Raw genomic sequence first — 19,690 nt, 5'->3', positions numbered from 1 at the left:
CAGGTAAAGAAACTGAGGCTCCAAGGGGAGGAGATACTACTATCAAGGTGACAGACTTTAGATGTACACACTTGGTTGTGTCTCAGCCCAGAGCTTTCCTTAACATGGTCAGGGACTTTTGGAGTGGCTGGTGTGTAAATGCCTTCTAATTATTATTATTAGATGATTATTAGATTAAGACATTTTAAGGATATTTGAATAAAATTGACCTCTCCTTATTTTGATCCTCTGTGCTAATAATTATACCCTTTTTATTTATTCAATTACAAGCAAATTGACAGGAGACATTTATATGAGGCAGCTTAAACCCCAGCTAATGGAGTGCCTAATGACTAATTGATCAGATCCCAACCCAGAGAGCAGCTCTGAGTGGCCTAAAGGAATTTATGCAATTAGTTTAGGTTTGGTAGAAATTGAGTGCATATGAAAGTAAGCTTTTTATGGTCTTGATTTATGAGGGCTGGACATTAACTATATCTGCCAAGAGGTGAGCAGCCTAGCTAAGCCTCAGGCCTTGGGGGAGGCTCTGTCACAGGCACGGATGTTGGGATTTGGAGCAGGACTGATGTGTGTTTTGGGAGGGAGCGGGAAGGAAAGTGGGGGAAAGAAAGATGGTGAAATTAGAGAAGGGATTCGGCCAGAGACCCCAATGAAATTACGGTGGTGCCTCCCACCCCATTTAATTCAAAGTAAAAATAATATTAAATGCTAAATATCTATAAAGAAGTCCAACAAAAATCTGACTTTTCCCAGGATGAACACTTGAATTTGTGTGTGTGTGTGTGTGTGTGTGTGTGTGTGTGTGTGTGTGTGTGTAATCCTAAAACTCAAAATCTTTTAAATATTAAATTACATATACAGTCTATAAAAAGAGAGCGAGCGCAGTTTCTGTCCCAGTTTGCCTCCAGTGGCAGGCAAGGCTGCGCAGGGCTGAACTGAGGGAGGGGGCAGAAATCTGACAGTTTACAAAGAAAGGTATAAGCAACGCGTGGGGAGGATTCTGAGCCGCGCGGACCCGGCAATCGCCCCTCCCGCGGTCCAGGGGACTCCTCAGGCCGGGACGCAGCCGAAGGGAAGCCCCTATCCGGAGGCGCCGGGAGGAGCGGGCGAACCCTGACCCAGCCGGGGAGCCCTGGGAGTCGCGCTAGTGCGGAAGCGCCGTCGGGGGAACAGGGGAAACCTGACTTGATCGGAAAAGAGCGATCGAAGGGGAGACTAATTTGTCCGCCGGGGTCCTCGCTGGCTCCGTCTGCCCGCCGGGGCGGGGTTACCGCGGGGGCTCCCGCCGCTCTGCGGAAGAGAGGAAAGAGGGGAAGGCGACTCTGCGCGCGCCCGGGGACGCGGGCCCCCTCGCTCCGGCACATGGGGGCCAGAGTTTCGCGCCCGCGAGGCTGGAGGGAAGCTAAGAGGGGCTGAGTGAGAGACACGCGAACAGACGCACACAGACAGGACGGGAGACGCGAGTGGCGCGCGGGACACAAAGGCGTGGAGGCTCCGAAGCCCGGCGAGGACAGCGGGCGTTCTCGGCTCCCACCACCTCCTCTGCTCGCGCTGCCTAATCTGGTGCCAAATCGGACTCACCTGCTCCTCCTTCACTCCCAGGCGGTCCGCTTCCCCACCCCAGCCAGAGGTGATCTCACTTGAGAACGGAAGAAGCAAAGGCACCGGGTTTTTGCCAGGTCTCTCCACTAAATGGCTGTGTTCATGACTTGTCCTGGGCAAGTTACATAAACTCTCCATGCCTCCATGTTCTCATCTGTAAAATGGAATTAAAAATTGTACCTACTCATGGTGTTGTTTAGGAATTAACAAACGAATGCGCTAAAGCGCTTGGAACAGTACCTCGCATAGGGGAATCCCGCCATACGTTTTAGATATCATCACTAGTCATTTATCCAGCAAACATTTGTAGAGCGCTTGTTCTGTGCGAGGCCCTGCGTTGAGTTCAGGGAGGCAGGGGTGAACTGGGTAGGTGCTATCAGGCAGTCTTAAAGACTAGGAAAGAAATAAAACGGGCGGTGTGATAACGTGATTGGAGAAGAGCTGTTTTAGGTAAAAGGAGCCAGCTAAGTCCGTCCTGCTCTCTAGGCCTCACTGCCTTCTTCGATTTAAAAAATAAAAATAAATAAATAAATAAATAAATAAACAAACACGGCTTTTAGGCGTTCTGCCCCTTCGGCTCAAACATTCTGGCGCCGGGGCCAAAAAGTGGGAACAGGGCGGGGAAGGGATGTTCGCTGGGAAGGAGGAGGAGTCCAAGACCCTTGCTTCTCCTTTGCCCTCTGGCGCCCCGCCCCTCCTCGGGAGGAGGAGCAGCGCGAAGTCTGGAGCCTTCGAAAAGGCTGAATGGTGCCCGGGATTCCGCCAGGGAGGAGGTTCCGGGCTCCTGGAGCCGCTGACCGGGGCCAAGCTTCTCAGTGGGAGCTATGTATTCGCACCAGGCACTCCCAGGGAGAGAATACTTCGTTCCTTGCGTAGCTGGGACGCACAGTGTGCAAAGCGGTTTCTTTTAAGCTTCCGTCTTGCCCGTGACAACCACTCCGAGAGCTGATAGGCACTGCTACCCTGACCAGACTGTGGCTCACAGAGGGAAAATGTTGATTCCACTTGACTCCAAGCCCTGAACTTGCCCCACAACAGTGCCTTCACTTTTCTGAGTACAAAAAATGTTTTAAAGCAACGAAATATCTATTAATGCCTACTATGTGTCAGGCCCTGGCCTTACGTGATCTCATTTAATCATCAGAGCAATCCTGAGAGAGTCTTTTTTCCAGTTTTTCCAGTTTTACAGATGAGGACACTGAGGGTCAGAGCAGTAAGGTCACTTAAGTAAGAGATGGAGCAGTTATTCCACCCCAGGTGTGTCCATTCCAGAGCCGGAGCTGTTTCCATCTCAGGAGGACAGTAAAAGAACTGGAACTCAAACGTCAGGCACACTGGGCAGGGCAGCGGTCACTCCCTGGTCCCCCCTCCCTGGCTCTTCCTCTAGGTTCCAAGGGCCATGTCACAGAGCATCCCCTGTGTACCCATAACCACCAAAGGGTGAAGCACAGTCTCTTCTATTTAAACAAGAAGGACACTGGCTACCTTGAATGAAAGCCTGTGATGCAGACCACCGCCTTGCCCCGATCCCCATTCCCAGGGAGACTTGCCTATCCCTGATGGCTCTGTTCCTCCCTACAGTCCCTTGAATCCAGAGGGGATTCGGCTGGAAGGGGTGCTTTCATTTTACAAAACAAAAACCTAATTCATTCATTCAACAGACATCTAGTGTCTGCCACTCTAGGCCAGACCTTGAGCAGAGTGCTGGACATGAAGTAGTGAACAAAACTGAGACTACTTAGGCACACAGAGAGGAAGTCGCTGGCCAGAGATAACACCGTTCAGGAGCCCAGGACTCCTGCCACCAAGTTCTGCCTACCAGGGCTTTAGTCATGCTGGAATGTGTATGCCTAGCTCATTCTAGATGAAGCCCCTGTTCCAGCCAGGTAGTTCTCAAAGTCCCACCCTCCGGAGGCCCGATGCAGGTTTCCATGCAAACACCCCCAAATACTGACTTCACTTTCTCTTGGTACAAGTTAAAGAAACTCTCAGCTGAGTCTTGGACCGTACGTGTTGCAAGCTGACAGAATTAGGAAAATGAAAACCTGCTCCAGGTGATCTTAGGAAACACCCTCAATTACTCTTCAAAATAAATTTGGGGAAGTTTTACAGCTGGCAGCAGAGGCTTAGAGAGGCGATATGACTTGTCCAAGGTCACACGGTTCGGATGCATACTAGCCTTGTGTAAACCCCAGACCTGCTAGTACCACCTCCCCTCCCCCGAGAGGTCTGTGCCTCCGCCAGACGAGTGGCAAAGGCGACTACACAATCCTGGGGAAACCACATCTCCAGTTGCTTCCTGAAGCAAGCCGAAGAGTGAGGCGACGGCGCCGTTCCGGCGCACTCAGGAGGAGGGAAAGGGTGGAGCGCTTCGCTGACCGGGCTGCAGCTCCGGCCTGCACGTAGGAACTGGTGAAAATACTCCTGCGCATCACCGTCTCAGGCGCCTGAAGAAGACTAGGCTCAGAGGCATGGCTCGGAGACTGGACCTAGTGCTACTGGACCGTCTTGGAGCAGACCTTGCGCTCAGGAGGCAGCTCCTCTCATCCTCTCCGTAAAAGTCTCCCAAACTTTTGCAGTTGTCAATTAAAAGAAAAAAAAAGACTAAATAAATAACGGCAGAGAACTTTTCGAAAAGAGGATGGAGGCAGATTTCCGGTTCTCTCCAGAGCCCGAACATGCGAAGGCTCTTCTTACCTGCAGGAAACCTTGCAGCCCGCAAAAGCGCGTCCTTCTGGAGCGCTTCGCTTCGGCGCGGGACGCTCACGGTTGTCTCCTCTGCAGCCCGGCTGGGCTCCTGCCCTGTGTTTTATACCACTATAGGCAATTAATATTGCATCAGCCGTATTTTAAATTTTCAAAACCCACAATATAATGTAATGGCATAAGGGCATTTATTATTAAAGGACACCCGATGGAGAGGGAGGTGGAGGAATCGCTGGGGCTGTTGTGCAAGGCGGGGGTAAAGGGCTGAGGCCCAGGGAGCTGGGGGAGATCCGCAAGTTAGCTTATGCGGTAGGGGGTGTCGCACTGCGCGGAGGGCAAACCCACTCTGCTCCGAATTTCGGCCCCGTGGTTTGATGACCCGCAACTCTTTGAGGACGAAGCAGGGAAATGTGCAGATGACTCCTGGACTTGGAGCATTAAATTTTAAATCAGGAAGGCGTTTCTACAGCTCGCAAATAAAAAGAGGGAGCGTAAAGAGAACAGGGAGCTGGCGTCTATGGAGCACCTACTATGTACAGGGCACTATGCTAGGCGCTTTGCAGCAGTTATAGCAGTACCCCCACAAAGAAGCCGAGGTGGACCCCAGAGTGAATAACAACCTGGATGAGAATTTCAGATGAATTTGGAACTCTGAGTGGGTCCCACTAGAGTGTCCCAGCGAACACTTTTCTCCCTCTTTGCCTCTATTATTTCACCTCCTTTCAAGCCCTTTGAATCTTTTAAAATAATTTGTTGCCTACAAAACCCAAGCACTAGTTGACGTCTTAAATAAACAATCTCACCTAGTCCTGACAATAACCTTGTGAAATAAGCGTTGGTCCCTTCATTCTGCAGACAAGCAATCTTGTTGGAGAAGGCTTAGAGAAATTAAGAAATTAGCCTCAGGATGGTTCTGCCAGTGAGCAGAGGCATTGGAGGCTCGAATTTCTATTAGTCCGGCTTCAAAGTTTACTAGCTAAGTCAAATTGAGCAGAGTCTCATGATGGCAGGCAGGGAAGCATGGAAGGAAGTGCCTTGAAACCTCAAGTTCAGACACAAGCCGCAGGGTCTCCCACGAGGAGCTCCAAGTGAGTCTGCCATGGAAGAGGAGTGGGGAGAAGGGATGGCTGGGGGCTGGGCAGCAGAAACTGACAGCCCAACCCTTTGGGGTTCTCCTTTTTAAATCCTTTTCAAAGCTAGTACCCCTTAGCCTCTGAGAAAAAATAAAACCACTTTGATTCGGGTTGAAAAATAAAGCATTTATTTTAGAAGTTAATTCAAGGGGTAAAGGGAAAAGAAAACTTAATATTTTATTTGTATCTATTCAGAGAATGAAACCAAAGGTCACACAGCAACACACAAACTACATGAAACAACGAAAAAATAAAATAAAATTTGGGCTAGAGGGGCAGGGTGAGAAGGGTTCAGGCCCATGGTCCCACTCCTCTTCCCTCACAAAACTATAAGTGAACTTCCACCGAAAGACACCCACATAAAGGGAATGGAAAGAAGCAGAATTAAATAAATAATAGTAATGAACGATGTTAACAACAACAGTAATAACAAAAGTGCAAGGAGGTTAGACGTGTTGAAAGGACTTGCATATAATGCAGAGAAGTTACAGTCGTTTTCCAGCAGCCGACTGCACGCTGAGCTGGCAATCTGGCAAGAGCAGCGAGCTGGGGTCAGAGAGTCCTCAACGGTTATGAATACTACAAACTCCCGCTCTCCAGCAAGCAGTAATTACCCCTCAAACACCAGTAGGTAGTGAAAGATGGCCAGAGCTGGTGCTGGCAGCTGATTACAAACAGCCAAGCGATCCCAGAATTTTCAGTCGCCAGACTGGGCCCACCTGTTTTGGAGCCCTACTTACCACGAAAAAATGGCAACTTGGAGCCCGCAACTCCCTGCATACTTTCCCTGAACCTAATCTTCATGCTACCTTATGAGAATTTACGCCAAACCAAAGGATAAGGTGAATAGAATTTAGGCAAGGAAGGGAGTATAAGGCTATCCTTTGGAAACATACATGTATTTTATATACTCTAATAAATCTCCAGTGCATGTTTGTGTCCCCCTTAGATATCCTAGACTTTGTGTTATTATTGATCACTTCCTTTTTATCCCTTCACCCTTTGCCTAATCGCGCTTAGCAAAGTGGCATTTTCACCCTAGCTTCGGGCGGTTGGGCCAATTGACTGTCCTCTGCTTTGGGGCTCCTGCTCTGAAGTCGTGCGGCCCCTGCGCGAGGGCAAATTTCAGCACCACGGACAGCACAAGTACACTCAGGCCCGCCCTTCTGCAATATTTTCCCAGCGCCAAAATTTTTTTGGTGGGAATAGAAAGGAAAGAGAGAGAAGGCCGGAGGCAACCAGGCGGGACAAAGGGGGAAAGTCTGTGGCTTCGGAGGAGAGAGCCTAACCTGCCTAGGAAACGCCTTGGAGTTCCCGATAACCATCCCCCGAACCCGGGAGGGATGAGCACTAGGCTCTCCCGGCTCCCGACGCTGCGCCCTGCCGCAATCAGTGGACAGCCGAATACTTCATTCGTTTCTGTTTCTGTCTCTGGTTGCAGAACCAGACTCTCACCACGTTCTTTTTAAGGTCCAGTTTCTCAGCGATGGCCGCGATCTTCTCAGATGAAGGACGTGGCTGGATAGCGAAATAGGCCTCGAGTGAACGCTTCTCCGGCGCCGCGATGGACGTGCGTTTGCGCTTCCGTTCGCTGCCGTTGAAGAGCTCTGGCTTGCTGTTCTTCTCTCGGTAGGCGGCCTCGGCCTCCTCCAACCAGGCCTGGAGCACCGGCTTGAGAGCGATCATGTTGTTGTGCGAGAGAGTGAGAGACTCGAACCTGCAGATGGTGCTTTGGCTCAGCGAGCCCACGCCGGGGATCTTGAGATTAGCCAGAGCCGCGCCCACGTCCGCCTGGGTCACCCCCAGCTTGATGCGCCGCTGCTTGAAGCGCTCGGCGAAGGCTTCCAGCTCGCGCGGGTCTGACTCCACGTCGCTGAGGCATGCAGGCATGGCGCTATGAGGGGCCACGGTGTGCGGGTGACTCATGCCCATGGCCTGGTGCAGGTGGCCCATGGCGCCCAGGTGGTGTGGATGGATCTGTGCGGGCATCACCGAGTGTTCCGGAGCGCCCAGGCCGCTCACACTCAGCGTGGGCGAGATGTGCTCCAGCAGGTCGCCTTCGAGGCCCTGGTGCACGGCGTGGTGAGGGTGTGAGGTGAGCGCAGCTGGGTGGGAGATGGGCACGGTGGACGAAGTGGACGTGCAGGGCACGCTGCTCATGGTATGGTAGGTGGCGTCGGGCTTGAACGGATGGTTCTTGCCGTGGGAGACGATATCCACCGCCGCCAGAGCTTCGGCGCGTGCCAGCAGGCTCTCATCAAAGCTTCCAAATATATTACCCTGCAGCTGCAAGCGAGAAGGCGCACAGCACGGTCAGTAGGGAATACTGTCAACACAGGATTAAAACACATTTTCAAGCAACCGAGATGCCTCTCCTCAAAGCCCAGGTCATAAAAATTAATACGGAGGCAGCGGCTCTGCTGGAACAGACGTGTGGATCAGAGACATGAATGAGAGAGAGAGCGCGCCGGGAGAGAACGCGGGGGAGACAAGGAGAGGGGTTCAGACAGCGGCGATTGTTCTGGGCGACATGAAAAAAACATGAAGCTAGTGCCTGTCAAAAAATGTGCCTTAGAGCGGTAATTATGCTCCACTACGTACCTGCGGGGCTGGGAGACAGACTCGGCGCATGGCCTCGGAGCCAGAGTGCAGACTGGAGAATTTGGGTTCTTGCAGCACCGGGTGCATGCCGAAAGGCTGCTTGGAGTTCATGGCCATCATCTTCGCGCTCCTGGCAGGGTGGCAGCGGGTGACATGGAATCAGGCTTGTCTAGCTTGCTTGCCGCTCTCCAAGTGAGCGCTGCTCAGCGCCCGCGCTCCCCTCGCCCTCTCGCTCGCTGCCTCCCCTCTCCCCCACCTGCTTCTTCACTCATCTTACAAGCAGCCTGCCAGGAAGGGCCCGGGCGCGCGCAGGCGTGCTCACGCGCCGGGGACTCGCAGGGGCGGCCCGGGAGGTGAGGAGAGACAGCAGCTAGCGGCGCGCCTTTCTGCGCCCGCGGCGGCCGCCCCCTCCACAGCCTTTATACCCGGGCCTGGCCTGGCCTCTCCCAGTCCGCCCCGCCCCGCTGGCTCCAACCCGCCAGACCTTTCCGATTCTTTCTTCTTCGTGGACTTCCCTTCCCCCATGCCACCCCAAAAGTCCCAACCTCTCCGTCCTGTCCCAGCTCGAACTGCCTGGATAAAAGGGTAGCCCTGGGCTGAGCTGGGGCAGGAAGTTGACCCTACTCCAACTTCCCCTCTCCACCACACACACACACACACACACACACACACACACACACACACACTCCGTCGGCCCGGCTGCCGCCAAACTGCCCATTTCCAGGGCGCTCCTGGCCTCACGCCCAAGCTGTCCACCAGAGTCCGGTCCCGCGGCGCAGCGAGGAGGCGCCTCCAAGCGCCCAGACGGGCCCTGGAGAGGGTGAGGGGCTGCCAGAACGAGGCCCAGGTGACCCCTGCCCCACCTCCCTCAACCGCGCTCCGGGGTAGAGGTAGGGGCAGTAACTGCCTTCTCAGTCCGGGGTGGCTTCCTCCCCACGCTTGCCTTTCTTTCTTTCATTTGAGGGATGTAACTTGGCCCACTCTTCCTCCAACCCTCCCGTCTAAGGAAGCTTGTGGAGTATTTTTTTTAGAATAGCGACTGTTCAGGATGGCCCTCCAGGCCTGGGAGTCCTTCAGTGCATTTCTGCTGGGCAGCCAGAGCTTGCAAGCCCATTCCTCGTGACAACAGCTACCGTTTAAGAGTTCCTAATATGTGCTAGACAATTTAGAGTTTGCCCATGGGATTCTCATACCCACCGTATGGAGTAGGTGATGTTATCCCGTTTTACAGATGAGGAAAACAAGGATCAGAGGGGCTAATGATTAGCCCATTCACTCACTCACCCAGTTATCCATCCATCTTACAAATATTTACTGACGGCCTGCTGCTTCCCAGGCGCCTTAGCCTCTTGGTCTTCCTTCTCAAAGTTTCGGAACTTGAGGGCTCTCGAGGTTAGCACTGCCCGCCTCCACCTCCCCTAGCCTCTTTTTCTCTCTACTTCCCTCTTCTTTCCTCTCCCTTGCCCCGCTCTAGTAAACATCGTGAATAATGGATGGGGAATCCTGGACCTCGACTACGCTGCACTCCGGTTCGGAGAGAAACCCCGCGCGTGCAGCTGTACCCCCTCGTCAGGGCCACTGCCTCCGCTGAGAGAGCGATCTTCGGGGCTTAGAGACCTCACCCTGCCTGTTATTGTGCAGGGTATGTGCGTGCCGGGTTTCCCAGAATCTGAACGAGGTGGGGTGGTGTGGTTTAGGGGAACATCCCTTAGTCCAAGAGGACGCCCTGACAGATCCGGGCTCCCTCTTCCCCTCGGCGCCCTCCAGTTGCTTTTCTCCCCATCCGAGCCAGCCCCCTCCGCTGGTTCCCGCCCTGCGATGGTGGGAAAAAGACTCAGCCCAGGTGCCTAGAGCCAAGCGCAACCCTTTCGCTAAAGCCCTCTGAGCCTCGGTTTCGGCGGCTCTTAAATGGAATTGCACTACTGTCTGCCTCCTTGGATTCTGGTGAAGACGTTCAGAGTTAGGGTAAGAAGAAAAGCATTGAGCCACGAAATTGGTGCTCAGTAAACTCCCTCACAACCTGGTGCCATAGCGCTCAGGCCCTGGCCTCAGATTCAAAATGCGCCTCTGCCTCTTGCTGGCTGAGACCACGAGATATTCTCAACTTCTCTGTACTGCGGTGTCCCCATCTGTAAAATGGGGGTGATCATTTATTTCCCATTGATTGTTGTGAGGAATGCACTGGGATAAGCACATGGCACAGTGCCTGGCGCATTGATATCATTGAATACATGTTCCTCTCTTCTTCCTCAACTTAAAGAGAAAGCATGTGAGAGTGGGGGTGGGCCAAGTCATCCTCCTGGAACCCGGTTTGTCTGCACGTGCATACTGTGGATCCTTGCTCTCCATTCACCCAACATCTGCATTGTGCCAGACCCCATGCCAAAGGCTGGGACACAGATGTGAATCAGAATCCATCCTGGCACTCAAGGAGTCACCAGTCTAATATTCACTTCAGAAAGTTAACTCTAAACTTGCCAAGCAGTAGAAGGGAGGTAGATTCATGAACAAGACACAGAGCATAAGGGTGGCAGGATTCTAGAAGTGCAGAATACACATCAGAACTATGGGCTGCAGGAGGGCTGGATTTGGGGCTGCATTCTGACACGGAGTATGGGTGACCCTGACTGGACCTCAGTTTACCTACAAGGAGTGGGCTGTATAAGATGATTGCTAAGCTTTAACAAGACTTCCAGCTTTAACAAGACTATCATTCTGGTTAATTTGAATGAAACATACTTTGAGCATGTCAGGAATTTATCTCCAGAGACACTCAACTCCCCAGAGCTGAATGCAGTATTTTATCACTCACTAGGATTTAAGACCAGTCTTTGTTTTCTTCCCAATGCTGGAAGCCCAAAGGGAAAAGGGGAATGAAACACAGGGATACACTGGTCTGTATTTTGCCTGGTCCCATGATGCCCTGAGACCCATAATCATTCCATAATACCCTAGTTGTCTGTGAAGCTGAACCCCTAGAAACTGGGAGAGAAAGGATTCATATCCATTCTCTTTTTCTGCTCTGTCCTCTCAGGGGTCTGGGAGATACTGGCCAGCATAGAGGTCAGGCATGAGTCAGAAACAGAGCAAAACTAACTGGTCCTCACATGCCTCCAATGTTGACCTTCACCTTACCAGCCCCTACTCCAGCATCCCCAGGCATTAGGATCACACATCAAGAAACACACCTGTGTCTGGTCCCATGTGTTTTAGGGTTTTTCCCATCTTCCCCTCTAAGAAGGTCTACTGGCAGTTCTAGGCAGCCAGCGGTAAGACAACACCCATCCTTAAGGACCAGTCTTTTTGAGAAGGCCTTGGAGATAACAGACTGGAGACTGGAGAAGAAAAGAGGGAAAAGACCATAGAAAAAGCAATTGGAAGGACAGCCTTAGACGGCAATTTGTAACAGCCTCTATGCTTTCCAGAATTTGTAAACTTAAATTCTATAAGGTGCAAAACTAGTAAAATAAAATTGAGCAACTTTATCTGGGTGGATAAAAGGAAAGATTGAAACTGTGGTAAACTAGAGAGCACTTACCCACCCCCCCCCCCACCACCATGGCATTAAATTACAATCACACACACACACACACACACACACACACACACACACACTCATACCATTTATGGGCCAAACAAAATATGTGAAGGTCCATGTAAGGACTATGTGGGCATTTATGCAAGTGGCATTGAAGGAAGAATTTTCCCCATTCGATAAGCATTTCCAAATACCTACTAACAGCAGAGTCTTGTGGAAGGCCTTGAAGATACAGAAGACACTGCTTCAGGAGCTCAGAGTCTAGTAGGGACATAGATTTGCCACATGTAAGGTGAAGTCAGGGCACAAAGCACCATATCCTCCAGAAGGACTAGCCTTGTAGAGATGCAAAGGGGGTAGGGGCCTGGGGGCAGATGCATTTTCCTGTGTGCCAGCGGTTCTCAATTTTAGTATGTGTAGGAATCATCTGCAACCTCTTAAAATACAGCACCACAGGCCCACACCCAGAGATGCTGACCTCAAAAACTAACGTGCTTTTTAATAGACATCCATGATTTTGGATGCAGAGGATCTGGGACTCTGAACTTGAAAAACTTAGTCTATACCCTTGTCACTTGGATTATTATTATTATTATTATTATTATTATTATTATTTTAAAATCCTGCCCTAATTATGTAAGCTTCATGGAGACTCAAAGAGAGTTTTCCTTCTTTGAGCTTCCAATGTCTTTTGCATCTTCCCTTATTATCTCTTAGTAAGAACGTGGTGTTTTATGATCTCTGCTCCTTGAAGAACTGTCTGTGTTTCCAGTGCCCATGTCTACAGGCCAGGCAACATTAAGAGCTTGATGTAATTCATGTTGAATTAATGAACTCTGGCCAGGGGGGTGTCCATGATGATGGTGACAAGAAGGGCCATTTATGGAGTGGTTCCTATGTACAAGGCTCTGAGCTAGATGCTTTGGAAGTGTTGTACACTGAGTCTCCAAATCAAGCCTGTGAGGTTGATATCATTATCCCCATTTTACAGATGAAAAAAAGGAGGCATAGAAAGACTAAGTAAGTTGCCCAAGGCCACACAGTTAGGCAGTAGTAGCATGGGGAAGGGAGCCTTGGTTTATCTGATTCTGGAGCTCAGGTTAGTCCTAACTAACATCCTGGGCTGGCACTAGTTATCCCATCTCCCAAGCCCAGGGTCCGAGGGAGTAGGGTGAGCAGGTTTTACTTCTCTTCTTGCTTCCGGAGGCTGGCCAGGCTCCAGGCATGCTTCCGGGCACAGGTTGCACTTGGAGAAGCCAGCAGCTACCCCCACCCACCTTCATTCCCAAGCCCCACATTGGAGAGTTGGAAAAGGGGCAGGGAGGGTGGAATGGGATATGGCCCCGATAGGAGGGCCCGAACTCAAGATGCCATCGCGCAGCGAGGCAGCTGGCGGGGCTGCCTGGCCAGGTGTTCGCAGCCGCCTGACTTGCCTTCCTCTCCCTTTCTCTGGTCGCCTTTCACAAACTTCTCACATGTACTCGCCGCCTGCGCAGCTGCTGCGGGACTCGTCTGTTGGCCGCTGCCTTGCATTGTCTGCAAAGTGGCTCAGAGGATCCGAGACGCCCAGAGGGATTCAGGGGCCAGAGGCCGAGCGTCCGTGAGGGCTCGGCACGTGCCAGGAGCCCTCCCCTTCCCCCTAGATGCCCCGCCATGGACACAGCCCTGGGACTCAGGCAGTAGGACTCCAAACAGGTTCTTGCCTCCTCAGTTTCCCCATCTGAAAAAATGAGTGGACCCAGCCGAGGGATCTCTGATACACCTTCCCAGTTACATTCTTTCACTGAACATATATTTATTGGGCAACTATAAGGCAGCCACCATGATAGGAGATAGGAATTTAGCTATAAACAAGACAGACAACCCCTCACTCCACTCACTTCACTCCCACCTCCCACTCACCTCAGCCCCTCATACCCCCATGGAGCTGAGGCTTCTGCAGAAGGTAAGGAATAAAAAAGATAGCCTTGGATAGTGATAATTGCTACAGAGAAGATAAACCAGAGCGCTGGAATCGAGAATATATGAGTAGAAAAGGAAGGAGTGACCTTTGAGCCAAGGCCTGAAGGATAAAATGGAAGACATAATGAACAACACAGGCAAAAGCCCTGAGGTGGGAGCCAGCTCAGGAAGTTCAAGGAAGAGCAAGAAGGCTCGAATGGCTGGAGTGTAGTGAGTGAACTGGGAGCTTTCTGATGGCTGTGCAGGAATTGGGTTGTCAAGATCCAGAGTGGAAGAAAAAGGTTCCCAACTTTTCTGGATTTATTCTACCGCTTCATGGAGAATCAGGATCAATTGTTTGGATCTGAGGTGCCGTTGCTGAGGAGACTATTTCTAATCATTTCCTACATTCAGTGCTTGGCTGTTTTATTCTCCCCCCTCCACCCATAGGTCCTGCTGTGTGTTCATCTTTGAGCTCTAGACTTGAGAATATCTGTGTCATCAGCAGCTTGGCTAGCTCTGTGCTATCTGGACTCAATGAGTCCATCCTGGAAGATGAGAACTGGTTTTGCTCTCCTCTTCTGCAATTCAGAGACATCTTAAAGTTCAAAGCCGTAAGGTCAATTCCCCATGTGACCTAGTGGGTTTTCATCTCTTCCATGGCCAAAGAATTAAGCCATTTCTCTTACCCAGCCGGCTTGAATGTTAAGAGGTGGTGGACAGAGCACTGGAGGTGTGGATTCAAATATGGGTACATGGCTAACCTGCTGGGTGACCCTAGACAAGTCACTCATGGGCTCTGAGTCTCAGTTTCCTTATCACTACAAGAGGGTTAGGGAGACAGGCTCCATCGTCCCCTCTGGTGGAGGTAAGTCAACATTCTAAGTGTGGATCTGGGAAAGAGGATGGAAGCCAAACCCATCATCATAAATGGAAATCAAGTTCTGATGGTTCTGCAAGGTCTTCTACAAGTAAAGCTCTCTTGCCTCATGTATTCATCAAATACTCACTGACCTCCTCTATGTCTAGCACATTCTAGGTCTGGACATACAGTGATGAATGAGTTCCACATGATTCTTGCTGAAAGAAGTGGAGAGTCTGCTGTTGTCTTATTCAGCCCTCGCAATAACTCCCTAGAAGTGAACATTACCCCCTCAGCCTTTCTTTGTAGATAAGGAAACTGAAGCTCAGAGAGGTGAAGTGACTTGTCTACCAGTACACACCTCATTGCTTCATGAGCTCTTATTCAGGTGCTGGTTCTGTACATTCTGTCAGTTAATTTTCACAGAACCCTATCTATAAGGTAGGTACTGTTACTCCCTTTTTTTTTTTACAGAGGGAAGAACTAAGGCTCAGAGAAGTGAAGTGAGCTCCAAGATGTCACACTGAATAAGTGGTAGGGATAGAATCTGAACTCAGGTCTGCTGATCAGAGACCACAGGCTTTTGCCACATAGTACACAGTCTCCAGGAAAAAGAAGCAAAACTTCTTGCCACTTGTTGACCTCCCCCTTAAGCCCTGGACTCAGCAAAGAGAAGCAGAGCCATTAACCAGCCTCTGTAAAATCAAAATCAAAATAAAAATAAAAAATAAAAGAAGAAGAAAAAGAAAGGTAGAAAAGAAAAAGAAAAAGAGAAAACAAGTGAAGGCTTTGCTCGCATCGGGGGGAAATCGGCGTCTTGTCGCCTAGCTCCATGCCCTGATTTATGATAAAAAATTTAGAGGAAATCATTTATATTTTAAAGGATCTAAATAGCTGCATGAAAGTTTTATCTAAAGTGCCACTGTATTTATAGGCAGTTCTTCCATGCTGGAGGTAATTAATAGATGTATAAATCACAGGCCTCCCGGCTCCCCTGCCTGCCTGGCTGGATGGTGGCGTGGGTCTTGGTACTAGGGGACCACGTGAGATGGGGCAGACAGTCTCGAAGAGATGGGCACCATAATTCATCCACCCATTCCCTGCCCCTTGATTTGGGAAGCATTTGCTGAGGTCCCAGGATTAATTCCCACTAGACTGGTAGATGCAGATCAGCTGCAGCAGTTCCCCATTGCCCAACTTCTAATCCCTTTCAAGAGTTGTCAAAAGAGAGCCTGAGAGGCCAGCCCCCCTTCTCTGCCAGCCCTGCAGGGCCAAGGAATTTGCTGCTCCAGTCTGGCAGGTTTATAACCACAGGAGGTCCTGTTAAATGAAATGCTGGGCTCTCTCACTCCTCCACCCCAATTTTAGCCAAACGGCCCATTTCTCCCTCTGTGCCCCCTGCTCAAGATGCCACGTGCTTGTTTTGGAAAAGGGAGTCAGTTGCAAGAGGCTGACAGCTCTCAGCTTACTTTAATTACGGCTGTGAAATATTGATGGTTTTGGCTCTCTCCGTGGCCGCCACACCTTAACGAGCAGGGAGAGAAGCCCAGGGACGAACAAGTTAAGGAAGGCCAGATGGTTTCCCTTCAGAAAAGCCATAAAGACCGAGGGAGGTGTCAGTGCCTGAGATCATCATGGAGTCCTAAATAATTGATGGGTCTCTTGAATTTGAAAAGGAAAAAAATGCACCAAGTTGGAAATAACAGTGATGACTCATTCATGGTTGAACCTTTGGAAATGGAGGGAGAGTGTGTTCACCTGGTGGGCTAGGGGTGGAGAGGCTTGGGGACAAAGATCAGTCATCTTGTCGCTCTTGCTTCATTGAGTTCCTTCCAGCAGGCCAAACTGAGCGGCCATCTCAGTTGGATGTAGGGCAGATAAAGCCTTCTTCACACAAACACAATCCTTTCTCTTCCTTGGGGGGCCAGAGGTGGTAGGCATTCCTTACGAAGGAGAAACTAAACAGCTCTCTTTTTTTAAAGCTCCTTCCTTTCCCAGCCTCTGGTAATGTATCACCAAAAAGTAGGTTTAAGAGGAACTTATACAGTTACCTCTTTATTTCACTATCATCTGTGGGGTTTTGTTTTTTGTTTCTGGCTTTGTTTTTTGCTTGTCCTGTAGCCTTAAACACAGCACTACTGAAAGTTGCCAGCCTGGGGAATCAAGATATTTTGACCTAGTGAATTCCTGTGTGGGAGTTGAAGAGGGTGGATTGTTGGTGAGGGTGGCAGTGGTGGTGGACACCTCATATTCCAAGGCCCATGTCTTCTGTCTGGTTTAAGCCATTTGGGGTGAACTGGAGTGAAAGATTATGTCAGCTTTTGACATGATTTGACCTTGACATATTTTAACACATTAGCCCAGAGGGGCTTTTCAGACTTGCTGTCCCCTTACTATTCATCACTTCACAAACAAAACAAAATACTTACAGCAAATACCACCCCACTCTGTTTCTTCCCATGTATATTTTTCTAGAATTTATTATATTTCTCAAACAATTTTTTAAAAATCTAACAAATAAGACAATGAAAGTCTGACCCACTCATGGGGCTTAGCCTCTAAGTTCTAGTAAATTACAAATATGAAGAACCTAGAAGCTCTTCTCTATGATTTTTTCAGACTTTGTTTTCTTTCTGTTAGAAGGGTAATTTATCCATTTTTTCTGCTCTTGCATCTTCCTGAGCAGTGTAGAAACTTTTGCATGCACTTGCAACTGAGTCTTTTAAAATTCAGAACCAAGTCTGGTGGTAAATAGAAGGCTCTGGAAATGGATGTCATATTCTAAGGGGTTGTAAACTTCACAATATGGTAGATAGGTACTCTGTTACATTTCATTTCACATTTATAACCTCCTTTTTCTCCAAAGAGCACATTATACATAACCGGCCAGTTTCATTGCCGAAGGAAATGACTGCATCATTTGTGAATAAGTGGTAACTCTTCCTGATCAGAGAGATTTTGATAACTGCTATGAGTGGGGGATGGTTATGTGGTGGAGAGGGGCCAAAGGGCTTGGGTGAGTCAGGCAAACCTTTGAGTTGAGAAGACCTGAATGGGAAGAAGGAACCAGCCATAAGGCAATCTTTAGGAAGAGTCTTCTAGGCAGACAGAACAGTTAGGGCTGCTCCTCAAAATGGAAATGGGTTTGCATGCTCAAGGATCAGGAAGAGGGCCATTGTGCTGGAGCCAACAGAACAAGAGGGAGAGGAAAGGGAGATGAGTTTGGAGAATTGAAGAGATTAAATAAGACTTTAAAAGCCATGGTAAGCAATTTATGTTTTGTTCTAAGTACAGTGCAAGGTTTTAAGCAGGACAGTGATAAGTATTTTGATTAAAAGTCTTATTAAAAAGGTCCAGGTGCCTGTAATCCCAGCACGTTGGGAGGCTGAGGCAGGTGGATCACTTGAAGCCAGGAGTTTGAGACCAGCCTGGCCAACATGGTGAAACCCCATCTCTACTAAAAAACAAAAATTAGCTGGAAGTGGTGGCACACGCCTGTAATCCCAGCTACCTGGGAGGCTAAGACACAAGAATCTCTTGAACCCAGGAGGCAGAGGTTGCAGTGAGCCCAGATCATGCCACTGCACTCCAGCCTGGGCAATAAGACAAGACTCCATCTCAAAAAAAAAAAAAAAAAAGAGAGAAAAGTCTCATAAAAGAGGCAGAACTCAGACTAGACGTAGGCAGGTGGCAGGGAGGTTTGTTTTTCCCCCTGATAGATGCATGGCTCACTGTCACACTTCCTTCAGGTGTCAGGTCAAATGTCACCTTCTCAGTGAAACCTTCCCACATTTCCTCTCCTGTTTTATTTTTCTCTAAAGCACTCATCATCTTATATACCTTATAGCTATATTTTATTTAGTAGTCTATTGTCTATTTTCCTAATAGAATATAAGCTTGATGAGAGCAGGGACTTGGCTTTAGACATTTCTGTATGCTTACTGCCACAAAAACTGCCTAGAGCTCAATAAATATATACTGAATAAATCAATTAACCTGAGTTGAACTTCGACAATATCAGAATTTTGTATATGAAGAGAGTCACTGTCTGTACCATCAGTGAGGCATATATTTTGAAAAGTTTAGCTCCATCCATATCCCCTTTTCAGGTCCCCATGACTGACCGGGGAGGTCACATAGATTTTTTTGTGGTCTTAGGAGGTATCAAAGGTGAGTGGCCAATATGGACATCAACCTTGCCACACAGCATGGTCCCATTGTTCTGTGGCTTTCCTTCTGTTCCTCAAACATGCTAACCCCATTCCCGTCTCAGAACCTTTGCCTTCATGGTCCACTATCTAGAATCTTCTTTCTTCCACTTTTTCATGTGGCTGGCTCCTCCTGGTCATTCAGTTCTTAGCAAATGTCACCTCATCAGAGAGGACTTCCCTGACCTTCCCTGACCACTGATCAAAATTAACTTCCATCTACCCCATCCCCGCGTCAGTCACATTCTATCCCATTACTTCATTCTTACTTTTCAACCTAGCACTTACTGCTACCTGAAAATAACTTGTTTCTTTACTGGTTTACTTTTTCTTTAAATCACCTGTGAGCTCTCACTAGAATATAAGCTCCATGAAAGCAGACAAGGCTAACCTTGTTTGTCATGAAATCTCCAGTGCCTAGCACACAGGAGATACTCAGTATGTGTATTGAATGAATGAATAAATGAATAAGTGAGTCAGACAAGCAAAGTTTGGCCTGGGGCTGCAGAGTAAGTGATTGGCATTGCCCAGGAAACCCAATTCCCAGTCCCCTCCTCCCTGTTAGACCACATTGCCTTCCCGATGTATGTGGGAAAAGATACCTGAAAAGATAAACAAGAAGAGCTGAAACTTTTCTAAGCCCAAACTAAAGGGGAAATGCTAAGCTCTTGTGGAGGAAAGAGGAAGCATGTCCTGGCTTTGGGAGGATCACTGCTTCCATTGTTCACCTGAGCCTGTGGGTCAAGAAAGCAGATTTCTGACATCATAAAACTGATTAGGACAAAAAAAAAAAAGTCAACACTGGCTATGACATGACTGTTCCATTGTACAATCTGATCGAGGAAATGTATCTAGGATTACCCAGACAGTCAATTATTCATGAGCTAAACGTCCAGGCATCAATTACCTGGCTTGATGCTCTTATTCATTAAGGAGATTGAACAGCCCAACTTAACAAAGCTGGAGAAAGTTGCTAAGTAACAGAAGTTACCTGACCAGCCACAACACTGCAGCCTCCACAATATGAGTCCTTTCATGGCAAGAGAGGGCCCAGGGATCACCAGCAGGAGAGATCAAGTGGTAAACCCCACTGGGGCTA

The 19,690-nt window shown here is 49.2% G+C and overlaps 2 protein-coding genes across 2 annotated transcripts in view, besides 3 other annotated features; both read right to left on the bottom strand.

The window, feature by feature from the left end:
• Positions 1,297-1,809: an enhancer, noted in NCBI's record as "H3K27ac-H3K4me1 hESC enhancer chr5:145725029-145725541 (GRCh37/hg19 assembly coordinates)". NCBI's record gives its function as "activates a minimal SCP1, AML or CMV promoter by ChIP-STARR-seq in primed H9 embryonic stem cells {active_cell/tissue: H9 hESC(primed)}" and the evidence as "EXISTENCE:reporter gene assay evidence [ECO:0000049][PMID:30033119]".
• Positions 2,323-2,836: an enhancer, noted in NCBI's record as "H3K4me1 hESC enhancer chr5:145724002-145724515 (GRCh37/hg19 assembly coordinates)". NCBI's record gives its function as "activates a minimal SCP1, AML or CMV promoter by ChIP-STARR-seq in naive H9 embryonic stem cells {active_cell/tissue: H9 hESC(naive)}" and the evidence as "EXISTENCE:reporter gene assay evidence [ECO:0000049][PMID:30033119]".
• POU4F3 (POU class 4 homeobox 3) lies at positions 5,547-8,436 on the bottom strand. The gene is made up of 2 exons (NM_002700.3): positions 8,043-8,436; positions 5,547-7,727 (listed from the first exon to the last, which is right to left on the bottom strand). The coding sequence occupies exons 1-2, from the start codon at positions 8,160-8,162 to the stop codon at positions 6,831-6,833; spliced, it is 1,017 nt and encodes a 338-aa protein (NP_002691.1). The 5' UTR covers positions 8,163-8,436; the 3' UTR covers positions 5,547-6,830.
• The window catches only part of RBM27-POU4F3 (RBM27-POU4F3 readthrough), a 138,124-nt gene continuing 123,980 nt past the window's right edge, over positions 5,547-19,690 (bottom strand). The window contains exons 19-20 of the mRNA NM_001414499.1: positions 8,043-8,172; positions 5,547-7,727 (exon numbers count right to left, since the gene is read on the bottom strand). Of these exons, the coding sequence (NP_001401428.1) occupies positions 7,717-7,727; positions 8,043-8,172 (141 nt within the window). The 3' untranslated portion in view covers positions 5,547-7,716. The remainder of the gene's footprint in view (positions 7,728-8,042; positions 8,173-19,690) is intronic.
• Positions 6,452-6,652: a silencer, noted in NCBI's record as "peak5522 fragment used in MPRA reporter construct". NCBI's record gives its function as "represses an SCP1 promoter by STARR-seq MPRAs in K562 erythroleukemia cells {active_cell/tissue: K562}" and the evidence as "EXISTENCE:reporter gene assay evidence [ECO:0000049][PMID:32103011]".

Source organism: Homo sapiens, chromosome 5, assembly GCF_000001405.40.
Source record: "Homo sapiens chromosome 5, GRCh38.p14 Primary Assembly".
Classification (NCBI taxonomy): Eukaryota; Metazoa; Chordata; class Mammalia; order Primates; family Hominidae; genus Homo; species Homo sapiens.
Note: the sequence above shows the minus strand (reverse complement) of the source record. Positions and strands in the feature narration are given on the sequence as shown.

What these genes read in the sequence shown, in the direction of transcription:
- POU4F3 (NM_002700.3), bottom strand. Translation starts at nt 8,162, where the DNA reads ATGATGGCCATGAACTCCAAGCAGCCTTTCGGCATGCACCCGGTGCTG. An exon ending in TCTGTCTCCCAGCCCCGCAG is followed by an intron (nt 7,728 to 8,042) that starts GTACGTAGTGGA and finishes TCTCGCTTGCAG; the next exon opens with CTGCAGGGTAATATATTTGG.